The 23,396-nt window shown below is 46.2% G+C and overlaps 1 protein-coding gene across 1 annotated transcript; it reads left to right on the forward strand.

Moving 5' to 3' along the window:
• Nucleotides 1–9,939: 9,939 nt before the first annotated feature.
• On the forward strand, nt 9,940–11,934 carry SPACA5B (sperm acrosome associated 5B). Its single transcript, NM_001079900.2, has 4 exons — nt 9,940–10,146; nt 10,575–10,733; nt 11,564–11,642; nt 11,747–11,934. Exons 1-4 carry the CDS (start codon nt 10,002–10,004, stop codon nt 11,841–11,843), a joined length of 480 nt encoding a protein of 159 aa, NP_001073369.1. The 5' UTR covers nt 9,940–10,001; the 3' UTR covers nt 11,844–11,934.
• Nucleotides 11,935–23,396: the final 11,462 nt, after the last annotated feature.

The raw sequence follows: 23,396 nt of genomic DNA on the forward strand, positions 1-23,396 counted from the left end.
CCCCAGTTGTTTGCACCTCTCATTATTGTGCACACAGCTCTGTGCACGTGTGTGAATATTTCTTTAGGAAAGATTCTTAGAAGTGGAATCGCTGTGTCAAAGGAGTCATTTATTCAACAAAACCCTAATGAGTGCGTCCTCGTGCTGAGCGCTCTTCTAGGTGCTGGAGAGACATCAGGGAACAAGGCAGGCTGATGTTCCTGACCACCATTCTAGAGGAGGATGTCTCCAGTTGTTGGGTTTGTTTGTTTGTTTGTTTGTTTGTTTGTTTGTTTCTTCTAGAGATGGGGGTCTTGCTCTGTCCAGGCTGGAGTGCAGTGGCATGATCATAGCTCAATGCAGCCTTGAACTCCTGGGCTCAAGCGATCCTCCCACCTTGGCCTCCTAAAGTGCTGGGATTACAGGCGTGAGCCGCAGCACCTGGCGTCCAGTTTTTATTTTGATAGAGACTATACACTTCAGTCCTGGAGCAGGATTCTGCAGCAGGTGGTTGGGCATCTCGGCCTTCGCTCTCTGAACGATTTTCGCGTTCTAGGGCTGGGACGGTCCATTTGGGAGTGTGTGGGAGGAGACACAGATGAAATCGTCATCTGGGGAATGCAGAGGAATGAGGGAGATGCGTGCACTGTAGACCCTGTGATGGCCAGGGAATAGAAGAGTCCACTTAGTCTCCATGCAGGGGAGCAACGGTGGGAAAGTCCCCTGGACAGAAGCATGAGACTGCCCATCAAGGGTCTCACCAACCAAGGGCCTGGGGGCTGGGGTGGGGACGATGATTTGGGAATGGGACAGTTCTTTGTCACACGTACCATTGCACGGTGCAGAGGGGAAAGAGTTGTGGGGAGGGGAAGGGCAGAGGGGAGTCTATTTTAGAATAAAACATTTGTGTGTGAATGGAGACATTAAAGCTCCATTCACAAGCGATGGACTTGAAACACCAGCCCCAGGTGGAGGCAGGATCAGAGCTGTTTTGATTGTCCATAGCCCATCACCTTGGCCTCTTGCTTCTCCCCAGCCTTGGAAGGAGGAAACTACCATCATTATGCCTATATGATAGGTGAGAGACGGAGTCCCAGACACATGGTAGGCATCTTGTCACAGGTCCTACAGCTGGCAGGTGCAGGAGGGGCTGAGTTTGGAGCTCACTGACTTCAGAAACATTAAGGAGGACAGGTGTGTGTGGTGGAGGGAGGGAGAATTGAACAAGTCCCAGGTTCTGTCCCCAGTCACAAGGTAGAGGCTGTGGGTTCATTTTCCAAGACAAGGAACCCTTAGAGATGGAGAGTGCAGGGAGGGAGAGGCAATCGTGAACATAGTGGGGACAGTGGGAGACAGAGATGTGCAGCGTGGGGAGAAGAGTGGCAGGCAAAGAAGCAGGGGATACCCAAGATTAAGTGTGGGCTGTCACAGCCACCAGAGGGAGAGGGTGCTAGTAAGGAGGTTGTGGGGCTCCAGGAGCAACAGAGGTTCCCCAGATCTGTGAGCATGCCCTGCCTGGCACTGCAGGAAGAGGTGGCTGCCACCCAGGTCAGTGTGGACGTACCTCTACCTGTGTCTCAGAGGAAACAAATTCTATTTTATCCCAATATAGCTCTGTATTACACAAATGTAACATTCGGCTACTAGATATGGAGTGCCTTATCTTCCATGTAAATACAGCAGAGGATACCCTAAAAGAGATACTGAAGGATTTGATTTTTCTTTCTCCCTGGGAAGATGGAATCCATAAGTTGGGTCCCCAAGCCCACAAGACAGGTGCAAGAAAGGGTGGCTGGAAGATTGTGAGTCATGACAGGGAACATTTTTCCTTAGGTTCCTTGGGTATATAAAGCTCCCGACTATCTGTCTATCATGGATAGATAAAGAGTGAACATGGTCCCCTCTCCACAAATGTGTTTCTCTCCTTCATTATTACTGTGAAGGGCTGAAACTCCATCAAGTTCTGATACATTACTCTTTTTTTTTTTTTTTTGAGATTGAGACTCACTCTGTCACCCAGGCTGGAGTGCAGTGGCGAGATCTCGGCTCACTGCAACCTCCACCTACCAGGTTCAAGCAATTCTCCTGCCCCAGCCTTCCGAGTAGCTGGGAATACAGGCGCGTGCCACCATGACCGGCTAATTTTTGTATTTTTAGTAGATACGGGGTTTCACTATGTTAGCCAGGATGGTCTCCATCTCCTGACCTCTTGATCCACTGGCCTCGGCCTCCCAAAGTGCTGGGATTACAGGCGTGACCCACCACGCCCAGTGATGCATTACTCTTTTGAGTTTTTTCGAGAGAGGATCTCACTCTGTCATCCCGGTTGGAGTGCATTGCTGCAATTACAGCTCACTGCATCCTCGATCTCCCAGGCTCAAGGGATTTTCCCACTTAAGCTTCCGAACTAGCTGTAGCTACAGGCACACACCACCACATCTAGCTAGTTTTTGTATTTTCTGTAGACACAGGATCCCACTATGTTGCCCAGGCTGGTCTCTATCTACTCGGTCCAGGCAATTCTCCTGCCTCAGCCTCCCAAAGTGCTAGGTGCGGTGGCTCATGCCTGTAATCCCAGCACATTGGGATTCCAAGGCGGGCAGATCACTTGAGGTCATGAGTTTGAGATCAGCCTGGCTAACATGGTGAAACCCCCTCTCTACTGAAAATACAAAAATTAGCTTGGTGCGGTGGTGAGCACCTGTAATCCCAGCTAGTTGGGAGGCTGAGGCAGGAGAATCACTTGATTCTGGGAGATGTAGGTTGTAGTGAGCTGGGATCACGCCACTGCACTTCATCCTGGGCAACAGAGCAAGAATCCATCGCAATAAAATCGTAAAAATAAAATAAAATAGAATAAAACAAAACAATTGCTAGTTATTTTTGTATTATGACTTTTGAGCTCCATTCTTGTTGCCTAATATTTGTTAAGTCAGTTCTCCCAACAGGATAATGTTGGCCTAGTGCTTCAAGATGATTGCTAATACAGCTGGGACTAACACGATGAAACTTGATACTGAACTCCAGACAAACCTGCCTGATTTTCTTTTTCCTTCTGGCTCTTTATGGCTCAAATGTGGCCCATGTCCCTGATATAGACCCCTTACCTTTCTCTTGACATAGACCGGCACAGGTCCATCCTGGTATGGAGTGACAATGAAACCTCACTTTCAGATGGCTGATCAGTGAGGTTTTCAAAGAAAGATCTTCATCAAAAGAGGGAATGTGAAAGCTGATTTGTTACAAAGAGCATCTCCTGGGCGGGCGCAGTGACCCACGCTGTAATATCAGCACTTTGGGAGGCCGAGGCAGGCAGATCACTTGAGATCAGGAGTTTGAGACCAGCCTGGCCAACAGGGTGAAACCCCCGTCTCTACTAAAAATACAAAAATTAGCCAGCCGTGGTGGCAGGCTCCTGTGAATTCCAGTTACTGCAGGGGCTGAGGCAGGAGAATCCCTTGAACCTGGGAGACGGAGGGTGCAGTGAGCCGAGATCACGCCACTGCACTCCAGCCTGGGCGACAGAGTAAGTCTCCGTCTCAAAAAACAAACAGCATCTTTCGCCTACAGTGATTTGAGCTGTGGTCTTGTCTCCTTGGGTTTCTCTATCAGTCTGACCCCATCTACTCTATCTCCCAGGAATGCCTCAATATTTCTGGTGGACCACTGACATGTTTTCCTATTTTCCTCTACTGTTAAGAATTGACCCTTGAAAATATTTTCTCCCAGTTCGATAGAATGTTGAGTGGGGCACGGCATCTATCTGCCATCTTGCTCCAATCATCTGGTTTTAGATATTTTATGTACTTTTGTCACTATATAAGTGTATTTTTTCTCAATTTGGTTTTCTAAATGATTGATATTGGTATGTAGAAAACCTATCTATTATTGTATATAATATTTTGTTACCTGTCTGTGTGCAGCTTCCCCTGCATTTTGGCACAAGACTCAATTTGTTTTGTTCTCCAAAAGAAAAGTGACAGGCTGGGTGTGGTGGCTCACACCTATAATCCCACCACTTTGGGAGTCGGAGGCAGGTGGATCTCGTGAGGTCAGGAGTTTGAGACCAGTCTGACCAAGATGGTGAACCACCTTCTCTACTAAAAATACAAATAAAAAATTAGCCGGGCATTGGTGGTGTGCACCTGTATTCCCAGCTACTAGGGCAGCTGAGGCGGGAGGATCACTTGAACTCGGGAGGCCGAGATTGCAGTGAGCCAAGGTGGCACCACTGCATTCCAGCCTGGTGGACAGAAACTCTATCTCTAAATAAAAAGAAAAAGAAAAAAGAAAATTCACTTCACAGGCAGTAGATAGTTATAAAAGGATAATTTATGGGCGATTTCATAGGGGAGACTGATGGAAAAAAAGGAAGTATACATTCTACAGAGCTGAGCAGTTCACTGCAAAAATCACCAGAACTGCCTTTTTCTCCAAAAATATTACCCATAAGCTATTCTACTACTGGTTTTTCTAGTCCTTCCCTCTATTCCAAATCCTCAAAATTGTCCTTTTCCTTATTGGGATAATTTTCCTCTGCCCAGATCTGGGTCCTCCACCACACTTAACACTGTCTGCAAGTGTGTGAATTCCCATTGGCTTTGGGCCATACAGGACACCTCTAGACAGACTATACTGAGAAGCCATGCTTGGAACGGTGCATGGGGAGAGGACAGGAGAGGGAATTTACATACCTGGCTCTCACTCCTGGTTCTTTTACTTATTGGTCAAAATTTACCCCACAGGCACGAACTCCCCCACACTTCTAGATTGCATCATCTGCCCCTTTGGCAGCTGTCTGGGAAGCCAGATCCCACACTTTGAAGTGTAGTGTTTCATACAATCCAAAAGTGGTAGCAGAGGCCAGGCGTGGTGTCACATGCCTGTAACCCCAGCACTTTGAGAGGCCAAGGCGGGCGGATCATGAGGTCAGAAGTTCAAGACTAGCCTGGCGAGCATGGTGAAACCCCGTCTCCACTAAAAATACAAAAATTAGCCGGGCATGGTCGCACGTGCCTATAATCTCAGCTACTTGGGAGGCTGAGGCAGGAGAATCACTTGACCCTGGGAGGCAGAGCTTGCAGCGAGCTGAGATCGCACCATGACACTTCAGCCTGGGTGACAGAGCAAGACTCCATCTCAAAAACAAAATAAAGCAAAACAAACAAAAAATCAAAAAGGTGGTAGCAGAAACCAGAAAGTCCAGGTATGTAGCTAATTGGCCTAGTTGTACAGCAGCAGCCAAGGGTGAAAACTAAATACTCCCAGGCAAGCCCTAAGTTCACCAAGTAATTGGAGTACCCATCTGTGTTAGTTAATTGCCTTTATCTGAAGGAAAAATAAAACTCATATTTCTGTGACAAGCAGGTGCTTACAGCTTGGAGCAAGGCATCTAGGCTAAACTCCCCTGGTGACAGGGAGACAGTGACATCATCTTCCTCGATGTTCACATTTCAAAAAGACGGCTCCAAGGCCCTAAAGAAAGACATTTATAGGGACCGGGCATGGTGGCTCACGTTTGTAATCCCAACACTTTTGGAGGCTGAGGCTGGAGGATCACTTGAGGCCTGGAGTTCAAGTTCAAGACATTCCTGGGTTATAGGGTGGCCAGAGGCTTACATATCAAAGGAGGAATTTACAAGTACAAATTTTTTCGAGGAAATGCTCTAAGGAAAGTGAAGTCTCTTCTTGCCCTTTTGGCAACAGGAAAATCTCAATTTTATGTTTAGTTACCCTTACAATTTCCCCCTTTTGTTATTCTTTTATAGCAACACTGCAATATTCTAATTATCTCCACTGCTGTTTCTTTCTCTGCCTAGTTTACAGCCACCTAGATATCCAACAAGTCCATAGTAAGATGCAAAGCAAAGCAATTGTCAAGATAATAATAGAATGATTTTTTTTTCATGACGGAGTTTTCATCTCATTGCCCAGGCTAGAGTGCAATGGCACGATGTCAGCTCACTGCAACCTCTGTCTCCTGAGTTCAAGTGATTCTCCTGCCTCAGCCTCCCAAGTAGCTGGGATTACAGGCATGAGCCACCAGGCCCAGCTAATTTTGTATTTTTTTGTGGAGATGGGGTTTCACCATGTTAGCCAGGCTGGACTTCAACTCCTCACCCCAGGTGATCTGCCCACCTAGGCTTCCCAAAGTGTTAGGATTACAGATGTGAGCCACCATGCCCGGTCTAGAATGAATTTTTAAATTCAGTATAATAATCACCTTGTCAGGGGGTGGGGCGATCTTTAAACACATCATATTGGTTAATTGTGTCAAAGTCAAAATAAATTATAGAGACAAATCCCTAAATCAAATGCTCTATTTGGGAATCACAAAATTACAATTCAGGGCATACACACAGACTAGGGTGGTCTTCAGTATGTGCAATGAACAAACAGAAGTTGGAAGTTTTATTAGAAAGAAAAATGTTACATATTGTTTAGAAATGAGGCTCATTGGCACTGGAGAAGCTGGTTCATTTGCACAATCAGCTTTCACATTCCCTCTTTTGATGAAGATCTTTCATCAAAGTGTTTCGCACTTTGAACTTGGAGGGCAGCAACAGGGTTGCAGGTGTAAAATAACGGGAAGGCGGGATGCGTGGCTAAATTGCTCTGCGTGCACAAAGAGTAGGAGGTAGGGAAAAGCCACTGGCTTCATCCAGTGGCCAGGACTGGGAGTTTACGTTGTAGCGTTTGAAGGACGGTGGGTCGGTATGCAGACAAACAAGCTGAAAAATAAACGGCGATGTGGGACACACACACCGGGGGTGAAGGGGTATATTAAGTGGTGGCTAACAGGTTGCTTTTTCTGGATGAGTAGACAGTGTCAGTGTGTTGGGAGTGTAGGGGGTGTAGGCTGGGGCCAGGTGCTGTAGGGCCTCCTTGGCCAGGGAGCTCATATTTCATTCTGGACATATGGGAAACCATAAGAAGGATCCGATCTGTAAAGACCAGTCTGAAGCAATCTAGCATTATATAGTAACGTTAAAAATACACATATATTGGGCTGGGTACGGTGGCGTGCGCCTGTAATCTCAGCACTTTGGGACGCCAAGGTAGGCGGATCACCTGAGGTCAGGAGTTCAAGACCAGCCTGGCCAACATGGTGAAACCCCGTCTCTACTAAAAACACCAAAAATTAGCCGGGCTTGGTAGCACGCCTGTGATCCCAGCTACTCTGGAGGCTGAGGCAGGAGAATCGCTTGAACCCGGGAGGCAGAGGTTGCAGTGAGCCAAGATCACACCACTGCACTCCAGCCTGGGCAACACAGTGAGACTCCATCTCAAAAACAAAAAACAAACAAACAACAACAACAACAAAAGGAATGGAGCTTCCCAGTAGACAAGACAAAGAAAGAAAGAAAGTAAAAAAGGAACTCACATCTGTTGCTCCCTGACACATCAGCACCTCCTGGGTATACAATTTATCCACTCTCTCAATGCATTAGGAGGTAGAAAATAGAAAGGGCTGGTCCTTTAGGGCCCATCAAGTGTCGCCCCTTCTAGCACCTAAACGTCATCTCCAACCACCTTGTACACACACACCTACACAAAGGAGGAAATCTTTTAGGGTTGGTGGGAGTTGGGGGGCAGAGGAGCCAGTGATACAGCCCCTCAGAAACTATCTGAGGGCCCACAGTGTGCATGCACAAGCTATGTGAGGCTAACTTTGCTGCTGCAGAGCGAGGACTCCCACTCTCTGTCCTGGGTATCCTCTACCGTCATTCCCTACAGGTGTGACCTCCTCATACAGTAACCTAAGCAGCAGGTGGCTAGGTGAAGGAGAGTGAGAAGCTGACAGGTGGCTGGTCCCACCACAGAGTCTGCATGATATGACATTCCCACCCAAAGACAATGAGAGAAGCCCCCACGTGGCTGGCGAGTCATCATTACAATTGCTCTTATGATACATTTTATCAAGACCACAAAAGCCTTGCCAATTGTGAGCGGTCATTTTGGACCAGAAGCAGCAGGTGAGGCTGACAGAGCAACAGCACAGAAGGAGCCAGGTCTCTGGTGACCTTGGAGCTACCACACTAGCCCTGGATTACCTGCCTCCAAAAGAGGAATCTGCTTCCCTCCTCTTGAAGCCACTGGTGTTTGTGGTGGGGTTGGTGCGTGCAGCCAAATCAAATCCTGAGCAATCCATCAGATGCTTCTGTGTTGGCCAATGTGAGTGTCAGTGAACAGGAGATACATGGGACTGGTGGGTGAGGGGCATGAATAATGGTGACTGAAGGGCAAATTGGGAGTAAATGAGAGCAAGGAGAGGCAAAGGGCAATGGAATGGAGGTGAATGAACACCAGAGTGGAGTGGATGTGGGCCAAAGTGAGGGAATGACTATGCATGCATTCAATTATGAATGAATTTGAGATTATGATGAGATTAAGTAAATGATGGGAAATGAGGCACAGTCTCAGTGGAAAAAAGGTGAAAGTGGGAGCAGACTCTGAATGAATGGGGCAACTGAAGGGGGTGAATGTGAGTGGAGTTTATGTGAGTACTGAGGATTAGAGTGTGAATGAATGGTGGTTTTATGAGGCACAAGATGAATGAAGAGAGGGGAATTTAGGGAGACAGTAGGAGTGAATGGGGGTAATGTGGGAAAGAAAGGAAGAATGGGGTGCGGGAGGGACACAATAAAAGAGTGGAGATGGAAGCCCCCCTTGAATGTGAAGCAGGCCGAGTTTGAGTGTGGGTGCTACGAGGGAGAAGGATGACTAGAGATGACTGGGATTACATGGGCGTTATACAGGGTAGTAGCCCAGGAACGTGGGTGCACAGGGATCCCAGTGGGAATCGGCAAATGTGAATGAGCTGAAGAGTGCACATGAATGGAGGTGATGTTGGGCAGAGTGAGAGGGAATGAAAGTGAAGAGCAGAGGATGGGTGAACGTGGGTATTGTGAGGCAGAGAGTGGATGAAGGCTTCATGGCCTCGGGTGAGTAAAGCGAGGAAACATGGGGAGCCCGATGTGAGCAAAAGTAACGAATTTGAGGCACAGCGTGACAGAATGCGGGTACTGGGAGGCAGAATGGCAGCCATGAATCAGGAGCAGAATATGAGCAAGAAGAGGGTGATAGGGGTTACAGTGGGAATAGATTTAAAGGAATGAGGCAGTGAGAGGCAGAGTAAGAGTAAATGGAAACAATGAAGAGAAAACTGAGAAAGAACAGTGACTGGAGTGCAGTGGTGCGATCTTGGCTCACTTAGCGTAGGCTAAGTATATGTGGGTAACTTCAGCTAGTGTTTGGGAGTAATAGGGACAGAGCTCCAGGAAATGGGGGTGTTCCTGGGACAGCATCTGAGAGAATAGAGGTGAAGGAGGGGCAGAGGGGGAGTGAAGGGGGGAAATAATGAGGCCCCGGGTCAATGAAAGAAGCTGAAGGCTGGGCCACGTGCGAGTAAGCCAGAGTCATTTGATGCAGGGGCGGGAAATAGAGGCAAAGATAGGAAATGAGTCTGAGTGAGAGTGAGTGGGGTGAAGAAGGAATATGACATGAAAGAATTTGGGTAATGCTAAGTAGACTGTGAGGAATTGCGATAATATGAGGCCCAGTATGGGTGAATATAAGTGGCTGAAAGGCAGTGTAAGTGAATGGAGGAACAAAAGGCAGAATGAGAATGAAGTTGAAAAAGCAGTCAAGCATAAGAATGTATATGTAATATGCCATTTGTAATATGAAATGTGGGGCACATTCCAGTAAATTAGGATGGAACAGCACTTTAAGTGCAGAGAGGTGAACAAGGTACCAAGGATGAGTGCTATGGTTTGAATGTGTGCCTTCCAAAATTCAGATGTCAGAAACTTAATCCCCAATGCAACAGTGTTGGGAGGTGGGGCCTTTAATCCCCAATGCAACAGTGTTGGGCGATGTTGAGGCTTCTGTGTTGCGCGTTCCAGAATCTACCACTTAGACCTTTGCTCATAGAGCCCAGAGTTCCAGAATGCCCCTAATTCCGAACACCACAGGGTGAGTCTGGAGCAAGTCACCTGGGAGGGCTTACAGGTGCCATAATGAAGGCCTGGGGCACTGTGGTAGTGACCTTGGCCACGCTGATGGTTGTCACTGTGGATGCCAAGATCTATGAACGCTGCGAGCTGGCGGCAAGACTGGAGAGAGCAGGGCTGAACGGCTACAAGGGCTACGGCGTTGGAGACTGTGAGAATCCAGTTGCCCCAAATCCCATCCAAACCCTGAGCCACCCGCCACATTCAGACCCAGGCCCCTTCTTGTCCTTTATCACCTCTCCAGGCCTGGGCATGATCCCTTGAGTCACTCCCTGACTGACTATGCTGAGTAGTTTAACTAACTCTAACACCACCACCATTATTGCCTTCACAACCATCACCTCCATCTCTGCCATCAACACCATCACTACAATCAATATCATCACCACTGTTACCATCATGAATACCATCGCTACCACCATCACTGATGTCTCACCAGAATCACCAACATCACCACCACTAAACCAAGATCACCACCCTCACAACTGAGATGACAACCATCCCTGTCCTCCCCCCATCCTATCCTTCCCTATTCCCAAGCTCTATACCTACTCCCTGCCTCCCTTCTCCCTGCCCCAGGGCTGTGCATGGCTCATTATGAGAGTGGCTTTGACACCGCCTTCGTGGACCACAATCCTGATGGCAGCAGTGAATATGGCATTTTCCAACTGAATTCTGCCTGGTGGTGTGACAATGGCATTACACCCACCAAGAACCTCTGCCACATGGATTGTCATGGTAAGTCAGCACTGGGGACCCACTGAAGCCCTGCTGGGCCCTACTCTCCCACACATGGAGGGCAAGGTTGTTTAAGCCATAATCTCCTGCAACAAGAGAAAAATGATGGGAAAAGGAGAAAAGTTGCCTGAGCTATTAAAGACACCATCCTCTACCCCTACCCAGACTATCCTGAGAGGTTGTTTAGGACAGAAGAGCTCAGAGCTCCCAATCCTCACCCAGAATGGACACTGCAGTTTTCTTAGACTCAGGAAACAGGAAACTTACCTCCATGTGGAACAGAGTTAGAAACTGTCCTGATTTGGGGTTGAGGTTACCCAGGCCCCGAGGAAAGAAGCAGAGTGTCTGGTTCTAGAAACAGAAACAGATAACCTCCATGCAGAAATGACAGAACTTTCCAGATAAGACTGGTGGTGTTGAGGACAAAATAGAATAGCCGTTAAAGTTGTTCAGTGTTGGCCAAAATGGTGGTTGAGGTTGTCCAAGACAGGAAAAAATGGAGACTGAGGTTATTTGGGGCCAGCCCAAATGGAGGTTGAGGTTGTCCAGGACCAGACAGTATGGAGGTTGGGGTTATTCATAACTAGCCAACATGACAATCTAGATCATCCAGGATCAGTCAACATGAGTTAAGGTTGTACAGAACCAGCTAACATGGTGATTAAGATCATTCATAACCAACTGACAAGAGAATCAAGGTCATCAAGAATCAGTCAACATAGTGGTTGAGGTTCTTCAGGCCCCAAGGAACCCAAAACCCTTGGGCCCTCCATTCACTGTTATCCTATCCCCAGTGCACCAGACCACCATGTCCCTCTCTTCCCCCTCAGACCTGCTCAATCGCCATATTCTGGATGACATCAGGTGTGCCAAGCAGATTGTGTCCTCACAGAATGGGCTTTCTGCCTGGTAAGTTCATGGGGATGGCCCAGGCCATGGGCAGCCAGGGATAGTGTCACTGCCACCCCATCAACCTGTCCACTTCATCCTCTCTCCTTTCCTTCATTTCCCAGGACTTCTTGGAGGCTACACTGTTCTGGCCATGATTTATCTGAATGGCTCAAGGGGTGTGATATGCATGTGAAAATTGATCCAAAAATTCATCCATGACTCAGATTCGAAGAGACAGATTTTATCTTCCTTTCATTTCTTTCTCTTGTGCATTTAATAAAGGATGGTATCTATAAACAATGCAAAAGATGCTCTGATGTCTGACTCTCTTCATTTATTCAATGCCTGGAGGTACCCTCATTCCGTCACTTCCTCCATGTATTCAAAGCTCTAATTAAGAAATACCAGATCACTCAGAGTGGGGAAGGAAGGGAGGATAGTGTTGTGAATCAAGAGCATGTTGTTCTCCTGGGTTCAGAAGCCATCTCTACCACCTACTAGCTGTGTTGCCTTGGAAGAGATACTTAAATTCTCTGAGCCTCAGTTTCCTCATCTGTTAAATAAGGATGATAATAGTAACTACTTGATGGGGTTATTGGGAGGATTAAATGAATTAATATTTGTAAAACGCATAAAGTGCTTGGTACATAAGACAGTTGTAGGTTTGGAGATAGAGGAGTGGGATGGGAGAGATGAAAATTGGCTTCCCTTAAAAAGAATCACTCTCGGTGGGGTGCAGTGGCTCATGCCTGTAATCCCAGCACTTTGGGAGGCCAAGCCAGGTGGATCATGAGGTCAGGAGTTCGAGACCAGCCTGGCCAATATGGTGAAACCCCATCTCTACTAAAAATACAAAAAAAAATTTAGCCGGGTGTGGTGACATGCACCTGTAGTCCCAGCTACTCAGGAGGCTGAGGCAGAAGAATCGCTTGAACCCAGGAGGCGGAGGTTGCAGTGAGCCGAGATCGCACCACTGCACTCCAGCCAGGGTAACAGAGCGAGACTCCGTCTCAAAAAAAAAAAGGGTCTTTATTTAAGGCAGATACAGTCTCTTCAGGGGAGAATGAATCTAATAGGATTGTGCTTACACAGGAAGCTCAGTGGGAATCAGGAGTTAAAGGTACGTTTCCCCACATCCTCCCACATAACACCATTCTTCCAGCCCCCAGCCCCTCTTTCATGATCAAAGTCTGAAGTTTAAAATGACAGAGCGGGAATGTAGGCAAAACATTCAATGGACACACGTGGTAATAATTTCTTCTTACAGAGTGCCTGAGTGTCACTTTGTGTCTTGAGCAGAGAATTTAGGAATTTCAATTTGCCATTCTTTGCAATGGCCAGCACCTTTGGAAGCAGCCACTCCCATAAGGAAGCAGTCCCTCATGTTCTTTGTACTCTTTGATTGGGGTGGATACTCAAGCACCTGAGACCTTGAAGTGTTCACTTCAACCAGGATAATCACAGATGAGCATGAAAACAGCTAGCTGCCACTGCATGCCAAGGAATGCCGGAGCCCCCTTCCTTAATGCCAACTGGATTTCCCCCGCCTTGCACCCCAACCAGCCTAGGTAATCAAATCTCACATCTCCCTGTGGGTCCATAAAGAGTGCCAACACTTTGGGTACTGATTTCTTGTTTTTTCTTATTTTCTTTCCTTCTTTCCTTTCTTTTTTCTTTTCTTTTTCTTTCTTTTTTTTTTTTTTTGAAATGGAGTCTCGCTCTGTTACCCAGGCTGGAGTGCGGTGGCTCACTGTAACCTCTGCCTCCCGGGTTTAAGCGATTCTCCTGCCTCAGCTTCCCGAGTAGCTGGGATTACAGGCGCCCACTACCACGCCTGGGTAATTTTTGTATTTTTAGTAAAGACGGGGTTTCACCATGTTGGGCAGGCTGGTCTTGAACTCCTGACCTCAGGTGATCCACCCGCCTCAGTCTCCCAAAGTGCTGGGATTACAGGCGTGAGCCACCACACCCGGCCTAAAGTATATTTTTAATTGTTGTTTTTTAATGGCTATCTTTAAATCTGTAACTTCCTATAATTTGATAAACCCTTTTGTTCTTGTATGGCACTTATTCTCCATTATGACAAAACAGCGATTTTTAATAATAGTAGATTTTATTAATTTTTCTATGAGAGTTTGGTATTAAATCTGGAGACATTTTTCCTGAGTATCATTTCCAAGGACTATGCTTATTTAATTAATTAAATTGGGTTTCCTTTAATACCTGCATCTAGATTTATGGTGAGGTTTGGCTTCCAACTGACAGCCCTCATACCTTCAAGGCCACAAAAGGTGCCTCTTTAGCTGGTCATCAGCTTGCCAGGCTTCTAGAAAGAATAATAATAATCCACACTCTAGCCTGTGAATACAGCTTTGTCAGAAGTAGGTCTCTGGTGGGACTGACTTTTCTTTCAAGCCTATATACCAGTCAGAAAGAAATTCCAAGTACATTTCTTTCCTACACCCTGAGCTTGAGAAAACAAACAAACAAACAAACAAACCCAAGTTGCTCTAATAGAAATTGGAATGGGAAAGTGATGATAAATATAAGTGAATTTGATTGTTTAAGAAAAATACTTTAAAAGTGGGGAGAGGCTGGGCACGGTGGCTCATGCCTCTAATCCAAGCACTTTGGGAGGCCGAGGTGGGCGGATCATGAGGTCAGGAGATCGAGACCATCCTGGCTAACATGCTGAAACCCCGTCTCTACTAAAAATACAAAAAACTAGCCGGGCGTGGTGGCGGGCACCTGTAGTCCCAGCTACTCGGGAGGCTGAGGCAGGAGAACGGCATGAACCCGGGAGGCGGAGCTTACAGTGAGCTGAGATCCCGCCACTGCACTCCAGCCTGGGGCGACAGAGTGAGGCTCTGTCTCAAAAAAAAAAAAAAAAGAAGATATTTCTGAGCTTTCAAAGATGTCCAGCCCTCACTGACCCACTGCAGTATCCTTCTCATCACTTCCCATCTGCTTGCTTGCTTGCTTTCTTTCTTTCTTTCTTTCTTTCTTTCTTTCTTTTCTTTCTTTCTTCCTTCCTTTCTTTCTTTCTGACAAGGTCTCACTCTGTCACCTAGGCTGGAGTGCAGAGGTGTGATCTCGGCTCACTGCAACCTCCGCCTCCCGGGTTCAAGCGATTCTTGTGCCTCACCCTCCCAAGAAGCTGGGACTACAGGCATGGCCACCATACCCAGCTAATGTTTGCATTTTTAGTAGAGAAGGGGTTTCACCATGTTGGCCTAGCTGGTCTCAAACTCCTGACCTCAAATGATTCACACGCCTTGGCTTTCCGAAGTGCTGGGATTACAGGCGTGAGCCACTGTGCCTGGCCTGCTCATTTCTTTCTTAGCTGTACAACTCAAACTTGGGACTTCTCTCTCTGTGATCCAAAGTCCTCCTTCCTCCAAAGAGGCAATCACATCTGGTTTGGTCACGGGATACCCTGTAACGGAAAATGATACAAGACTTGGGCACGTCTGTGTGGGCTTTGGGACCTCAAAAAGTTAGGAAGGCACATATTCATGAGGCTAAATTTCACATAGGAGATGAAAATAGAAACACCTTGTTCAGTCTAGGAGGGATTAAGCATCTTTAATCCCTAGAACCTGAGGTCAAAATATTGAAGCACTTCAGAGATGGAAAGTTATTCTACTGGATATACCATGAATTACTCAGAGAAGCCATCCTCACCCACAGAGACCAGATGGCTGTAGTTCTGTAGTATCACATCTTTATATCTCTCTATATTTCTCTAGCATCACACGGTCCTCTGAGGAGGATCCAGTCAATTCCACCACTCCTGGGTGAAATCCGCAAGACACATCGTCAAATGACACGATCCCTGTAACGGAATGCTTCTATTCAATTGGTTGGATAAAAATTAAAATGATAATACTTTTTAAAATAAAGAAAATATTCTTCAGAGAGAAGCTACTCTTTAACCATTTCAAAAAGGGCTTTTCTGAGATATTCGCAATACCTATATATAGCAAAGGACTTTTATACTACAGAAACTATAAAGAACTCCTACAAACAATAAGATAAATATAGATAGATAATCCAGTAGAAAAAAACAGAAAAAAAGATTTGAACAGGTAATTCACAAAAGAGGATATCCAAATGGCCAATAAATGTATGAAAAGGTGCTCACCATCATTAGTCATCAGAGAAAGGCAAACTTAAACCACAGTGAGATACCACTATATGCCAACAGAAAACTGAAATTAAGACCAACAACCTTCAGCTTTCCTGAAAGGCTCTTTGAATTCTTTTTTTTTTTTTTTTTTTTTGAGATGGAGTTTTGCTCCCATCACGCAGGTTGGAGTGCAGTGGCACGATCTCGGCTCACTGCAACCTCCGCCTTCCAGTTTCAAGAGATTCTCCTGCCTCAGCCTCCGAAGTAGCTGGGATTACAGGCGCCCGACACCACGCCCGGCTAATTTTTGTATTTTTAGTAGAGTCAGAGTTTCACCATGTTGGTCAGGCTGGTCTCAAACTCCTGACCTGGTGATCCACCCGCCTCGGCCTCCCAAAGTACTGGGATTACAGGCGTGAGCCACCCCACCAGGCCCAGCTATTTGCATTCTATTTGAGTCTTTCTCCCCCTAAATCCTGGATCTGCTACCCTTCCAATTTCCTTCCAAGTGTTGGCCGGATGTAGAGCAACTGAAGCTCTCATACATTGTTGGTGGAAGTAAAATGGTGTAGGCACTTAACAGATTGGTAGAATCTACTAAAGCTGAACATCTAAATTAACATCTAAGTTAGTTTATCTAACTTATCTCATCTGCAAGAGGTAGATGATACACCTAACCTAGGATCCAGCAACTCCACTCTTAGGTATATATCCAATGGAAATGCACACATATGTTCACCAACACATGCACAAGAATACTCACAGAAGCATTATTTGTAATAGCTAAAATGGAATATCCACCAGCAGGGGAATGGATTAACAACTGTGTTATATTTATACAAAAGGAATAGTGAATAGTATGGAAAAAGAACAAACTACTGACACATAAGGTAACAAGGATGGATCTCAAAAACATTATGGTAAGTAAAAGAAGCCAGACCCAAAAGAATAATAATGTATAATTCCATTTATATGACATTCAAGAACTGGCAAAAATAATCTATGGTGATAGAAATCAGAAAGTCGTTAGCTGTGAATCAAGAGATAGTGATTGGAAGTGGCATGATGAAGGCTTCTGGGTGGCTTGTCATTTCCTGCTTTTTGATACAGGTATGGGTTACAAAGGTGTTTTCACTTGGCAGAAGTTCATTAAACCATATACTTTATACACTTTTCTCTGTATGTTCTGCTTCAATAAAAGGTCTGACCCAAAACATTTTTAACTAAGTTAGTTTTCCATACAAGGTTTTAAAAAACAGTAAGAGGGCCGGGCACAGTGGCTCATGCCTGTAATCCCAGCACTTTGGGAGGCTGAGGCAGGTGGATCACATGAGGCCAGGAGTTCGAAACCAGCCTGGCCAACATGGTGAAACCCCGTCTCTACTAAAAATACAAAAATTAGCAGGGCATGATGGCACGTACCTATAATCCCAGCTACTCAGTAGTCTGAGGCAGGAGAATGGCTTGAACCCGGAGGCAAAGGTTGCAGTGAGCCAAGATTGCGCCACTGCACTCCAGCCTGGGTAACAGAGCGAGACTCTGTCTCAAAAAAAAAAAAAAAAGGAAAAAGGAAAAAGGCCAGGCGTGAGGCTCACGTTTATAATCTCAGCACTTTGGGAGGCCAAGGCAGGTGGATCACCTGAGGTCAGAAGTTCGAGACCAGCCTGGCCAACGTGGTGAAACCCCATCTCTATTAAAAATCCAGAAAATATTAGCTGGGTGTGGTGGAGCATGCCTGTAACCCCAGCTACTTCGTAGGCTGAGGCAGGAGAATCACTTGAACCTGGGAGGGGGAGGTTGTAGTGAGCTGAGATCGTGCCATTGCACTCCAGCCTGGGCAACAAGAGCTAAACTCCGTCTCAAAAAAAAAAAAAAAAAAAAAAAAAGTAAGAGAAAGATTTAAAAATCCCACAGGAAAAAGAGTAGCATTTGGGAAAGAATGATTCACAAAAGAAATATAAAAAGAAAAACGTATGAAAAGATACTCAATTTCATTGACAAACACAAAAGAAATGAGATATTTTCAACTATCAAATGGCAAGGATTAGCTCTCCCTCTCCCTCTCCATCTCCCTCTCCCTCATCCCTCTCCCTCATCCCTCTCCCTCTCCCTCTCCATCTCCCCCTCCCCCTCCCTCTCCCTCTCCCTCTCCCCTTTGCACGGTCTCCCTCTGGTGCAGAGCCGAGGCTGGACTGTACTGCCGCCATCTCGGCTCACTGCAACCTCCCTGCCTGATTCTCCTGCCTCAGCCTGCCGAGTGCCTGGGATTGCAGGCGCGCGCCGCCACGCCTGACTGGTTTTCGTATTTTTTGGTGGAGACGGGGTTTCGCCGTGTTGGCCGGGCTGGTCTCCAGCTCCTAACCGCGAGTGATCTGCCAGCCTCGGCCTCCCGAGGTGCCGGGATTGCAGACGGAGTCTCGCTCACTCAGTGCTCAATGTTGCCCAGGCTGGAGTGCAGTGGCGTGATCTCAGCTTGCTACAAACTCCACCTCCCAGCTGCCTGCCTTGGCCCCCCAAAGTGCCGAGATTCCAGCCTCTGCCTGGCTGCCACCCCGTCTAGGAAGTGAGGAGGGTCTCTGCCTGGCCGCCCATCGTCTGGGATGTGAGGAGCCCCTCTGCCTGGCCGCCCAGTCTGGGAAGTGAGGAGCGCCTCTTCCCGGCCGTCATCCCGTCTAGGAAGTGAGGAGCGTCTCTGCCCGGCCGCCCATCGTCTGGGATGTGGGGAGCGCCTCTGCCCCACCGCCCCGTCTGAGATGTGAAGAGCGCCTCTGCCCCGCCTCGACCCCGTATGAGAAGTGAGGAGCCCCTCCGCCCGGCAGCCGCCCCGTCTGGGAAGTGAGGAGCATCTCCGCCTGGCAGCCGCCCCATCCGGGAGGGAGGTGGGGGGGTCAGCCCCCGCCCGGCCAGCCGCCCTGTCTGGGAGGTGGGGGGCAGCCCCCGCCCGGCCAGCCGCCCCATCCGGGAAGTGGGGGGCAGCCCCCGCCCGGCCAGCAGCCCCATCAGGGAGGTGGGGGGCAGCCCCCACCAGGCCGCCGCCCCGTCTGGGAGGTGGGGGGCGCCTCTGCCCGGCCACCCCATCTGGGAAGTGAGGAGCCCCTCTGCCCAGCCGCCACCCCGTCTGGGAGGTGTACCCAAGAGCTCATTGAGAACGGGCCATGATGACGATGGCGGTTTTGTCGAATAGAAAAGGGGGAAATGTGGGGAAAAGAAAGAGAGATCAGATTGTTACTGTGTCTGTGTAGAAAGAAGTAGACATAGGAGACTCCATTTTGTTCTGTACTAAGAAAAATTCTTCTGCCTTGGGATGCTGTTAATCTATAACCTTACCCCCAGCCCCGTGCTCTCTGAAACATGTGCTATGTCCAGAAACGGTTAAATGGATTAAGGGCGGTGCAAGATGTGCTTTGTTAAACAGATGCTTGAAGGCAGCATACTCGTTAAGAGTCATCACCACTCCCCAATCTCAAGTACCCAGGGACACAAACACTGCGGAAGGTGGCAGGGCCCTCTGCCTAGGAAAACCAGAGACCTTTGTTCACATGTTTATCTGCTGACCTTCCCTCCACTATTGTCCTATGACCCTGCCAAATCCCCCTCTCCGAGAAACACCCAAGAATGATCAATAAATACTAAAAAAATTAAAAAAAAAATGGCAAGGATTAAAACCATGACAAGAAGATTAGAAAGGGTATTTTCATTCATTATTAGTGGGGGGTGTCAACTTGTACTAACTTTTCAAAAGGCAATTTGGCAATGTCTATGAAAGTTCAAAACGTGCCCACCTTTTGAACCAGACACTCTAGAAATGCTCACCACTGTGTACAAAGATAGATGACAAGATAAAAAAAAAAACCAGGTACTGCTGAGGTTGTAGAGAAAAGGGAATGCTTATACACTGTTGGTGGGAATGTAAATTAACTCAACCATTGTGAAAAGCAGCGTGGCAATTCCTCAAAGAGCTAAAGAGAGAATTACCATTCAACCCAGCAATCTCATCACTGGGTATACAGCCAAAGGAATATAAATTGTTCTACCACAAAGACGCATGCATGCATATGTTCACTGCAGCACTATTCACAATAGCAAAGACATGGAATCAGCCTAAATGCCCATCAATGGTAGTCTGGACAAAGAAAATGTGGTACATATACACCATGGAATACTATGCAGCCATCAAAAAGAATGAGATCAGGCCAGGTGCAGTGGCTCATGCCTGTAATCCCAGCACTTTGAGAGGCCAAGGTGGGAGGATCATGTGAGCCCAGGAGTTCAAGACCAGCCTGGACAACATAACAAGACCTCATCTGTAGACCTCGTCTCTACAAAAAAATAATAATAACAATTTTAAAAAGAACAAGATCATGTCCTTTGCAGCAACATGAATAGAGCTGGAGGCCAGCAACATGAATAGAGCTGGAGGCCATTATCCTTAACACACTAACACAGGAACAGAAAACTAAATACTGCATGTTCTCACTTATAAGTGGGAGCTAAATGATGAGAACTAATGGACACAAAGAGAGGAACAACAGACACTGGGGCCTACTTGAAGGTGGAGGGTGGGAGGAGGGAGACGATGAAAAAAAAAATAACCATTGGGTTTAGTACCTTGGTGATGAAATAATCTGTGCAACAAACCCCCGTGACATGAGTTTACCTATATAACCAACTTGCACATGTACCCCTGAACCTAAAATAAAAGTTAAAGAAAAAGACGACAAGAGAGATCACTGCCACACTGTAGCAGAAATTACACAGAAGTCCTTCAATATGGGGCTGATTAATAAATCGTAGTACATGCATACAAGAAAAAAAAGCATCTCTTAAAAATATCTCTATGTCCTGATACTGAAATACCTTCCATCAACAAGTGTTCATTAAGTAGGGGCTATTCCAGCTATGCCAGTGAGCAGCTGTGCAAGCCCATGCAATCTGCTTATCCACTCTGGTACTCAGCTTCCTTAGCTGTAAGAGGTAGATAAAAATGGTACCTACTTCCTAAGGTCATTGTGAGAATTAAAAGTGATCATGCATATATAATGCTTAGTATGGTGTCAGGTGCAGTGTGAGCTCACTACATGTCGGCTCTTGTTGTGTCACTTTTGTTATCGTTATCATTTGTATTATCATTATCATTACCACTATGACCATTATTAATACTATTCTGGAAAGGGCAAATGGAATGGCAAAACAGTTTTACATAATGAGCAGATTTTAGCAAAACGAAGACATTTACATACGTATATATTTATATGTGTATGTAAATATAAAGAGAAAGAACAAGGGGGAGAGAGAGGTGTATAGGTGGAAATTAACCAAATTCATCAGAAATTGGTTATTTGGAATGAGTGGTGATATGAGATTATAAGTGAATTTCCCCTTTCAGATTGTATATTCCTCAAGAGTTTGGATTTTTGGTGTGCTACTTCTAAATCACTTCTGTAGGAAGAGAAAAAAATGACAAAATAATATAGACTTTCTTAAAAAGGGCAGAAGGGAAAGTACTGAACACGCTTAGGGACATCATGAATTCTGAGCCTAAAAAGGAAAAGGGCAGACCTTTGGGTTGCTCAGGCTGTTCTGAAACCCCAGATGTGGAAAAACTACATATAGATCAGAAAAGAATTTGAAGGGCATGAGGTTTACTGATTCTTCCTGATGATCAAGGTCCATATATTGAGCCAGAACATAAGAGCTATTTGTGCAGACATGGCTTTGATTTCCTGAAGAGTCACATATTTTTAGTTCTGCTTTAGCAGGACACCTTTGGTTGACATGCAGACATATTTTAAGTCACAGCAGAGCAATCCTATCTCTGTATTTATCACAAGATTGCTGATAAGGGACTTGGCTGACGCATCAGAGAACTGTCTTATCAAAGAAATCTTTGCTTCTGAGGAAGTGGCTTACTTTCTCTGTATGGGTGAGATAAATAAAGCAAATGAGCTTTTTTCCCCCTCTATGTTGTGGCTTCTAGGAAGCTCAGAAAAATAACTGTAGCTCAACATAATTATGTAGAATCCTATGATCTACATATAGACATTTCAACCTGGCCTTGGTTTTGCTCTACTTCCCTATTCCTTTTTATGTGTTTATATGTATCCATTTTATGGTATTAATAATAATATAATAATAATATTAAACTCATATATAAGACTTACGTGTGTGCCAGGCATTGTTGTAAACACTTATATTGACTCAATTGATCTACACAACAACCATACAAGGCAGGTATTATTATTATTATCATTAACATCATCATCCCTATTTTACAGTTAGAGAAACTAAGGCACAAAGAGGTTAAATGACGACTCTGTCCGCAGACCACCAGCCCTCTCACTTCCGTTCGATGTAAACTCTCTGCCCTGCCTCATACCCTGCTCTGATGTTAAGATCCGAATGCTTATTCAGGCAAGGTCCCCTTGTGTTTCCAAAATCAGTCACAACTTCCTCTGACAGCCACCTTTTTCCGACCTTTATCCTGCATTAGGTACTGCCAGTCACTATACTTGCTCATGCGCAGTACCGTTCCCAAAGCCGTCGGCACTAGCAGCCAAAGTTTCTTTCTTATGATAATGGCATTAATCACTTCCTAACAGCCCCACCTCTCAATATTGTTACAATGGCAATTAAATTTCAACACGTGTTTTGGTGAGGACATTCAAACCATGGCAGTCATACTGCCTTCTTCTCTTCTGTCTGTGTCAGATCTCCCTGCCTCAATCTGATAAGGACACTCATTATTACATTTAGGGCCCACCCAGATAATCCAGGAGAATATCCCCTTCTCAGGATCTTTAACATAATTACTTTTTATTTTTTTTTTTGAGATGGAGTCTCACTCTGTCACGCAGGCTGCAGTGCAGTGGCATGATCTCGGCTCACTGCAACCTCTGCCTACCAGGTTCAAGCAATTCTCTGCCTCAGCCTCCTGAGTAGCTGGGATTACAGGTGTCCACCACCATGCCCAGCTAATTTTTGTATTTTTAGTAGAGACGGGGGTTTCACCATATTGGCCAGGCTGGTCTTGAACTCCTGACCTAGTGACCCACCCACCTCGGCCTCCCAAAGTGCTGGGATTATAGGCGTGAGCCACCATACCTGGCCAACATAATCACATTTTTTGTTGTAAGTTAACACTCACAGGTTCCAGGGGTTATATGTCGCTATCTTTTGGAGGGGCGTTGTTCAGTCTACCACAGCCTGCCCTCTGGCCCCCAAGTATTCACATCTCTCCCACATGCAAAATACATGCGCCCCATCCCCAAATCCTCAAATGTCTCAAACCGTGCAACGTTAGCTGAAGTCCAACATCTTATCCATATAAGATCAGCTCAAAAGTACCAAGTCTCCTCATCTAAAACAGATATGGATGAGACTCTGGTTGTGAAACATCCTGGGGCAAAATTCTCCTGCCATGAATTTGTGACACTAGAAAGCAAGCTATCTGTTCCAAAAATACTGTGGCGAGACAGGTGTAGGAAAATAGTTACGGATATTTCCATTTCAAATGGGAGAAACTGGAAGAAAGGAAGGAGTCACTGCTCCCAACCATTTTGAAATCTAGCAGGACAAATTCCATTTGGTTTCAAGGGTTCAGAATAATCCTCTGTAGCTTGAAGCTCTCCCCTCTGGTCCCATAG

This window comes from Homo sapiens, chromosome X, assembly GCF_000001405.40.
Source record: "Homo sapiens chromosome X, GRCh38.p14 Primary Assembly".
NCBI classification, from domain to species: Eukaryota; Metazoa; Chordata; class Mammalia; order Primates; family Hominidae; genus Homo; species Homo sapiens.

Bases quoted from the DNA above. Each gene is read 5' to 3' on its own strand.
- SPACA5B (NM_001079900.2), top strand. From the start codon at position 10,002: ATGAAGGCCTGGGGCACTGTGGTAGTGACCTTGGCCACGCTGATGGTT. The intron at 10,734-11,563 runs GTAAGTCAGCAC...CTTCCCCCTCAG, and splicing joins CTGCCACATGGATTGTCATG to ACCTGCTCAATCGCCATATT. The intron at 11,643-11,746 runs GTAAGTTCATGG...TTCATTTCCCAG, and splicing joins CAGAATGGGCTTTCTGCCTG to GACTTCTTGGAGGCTACACT.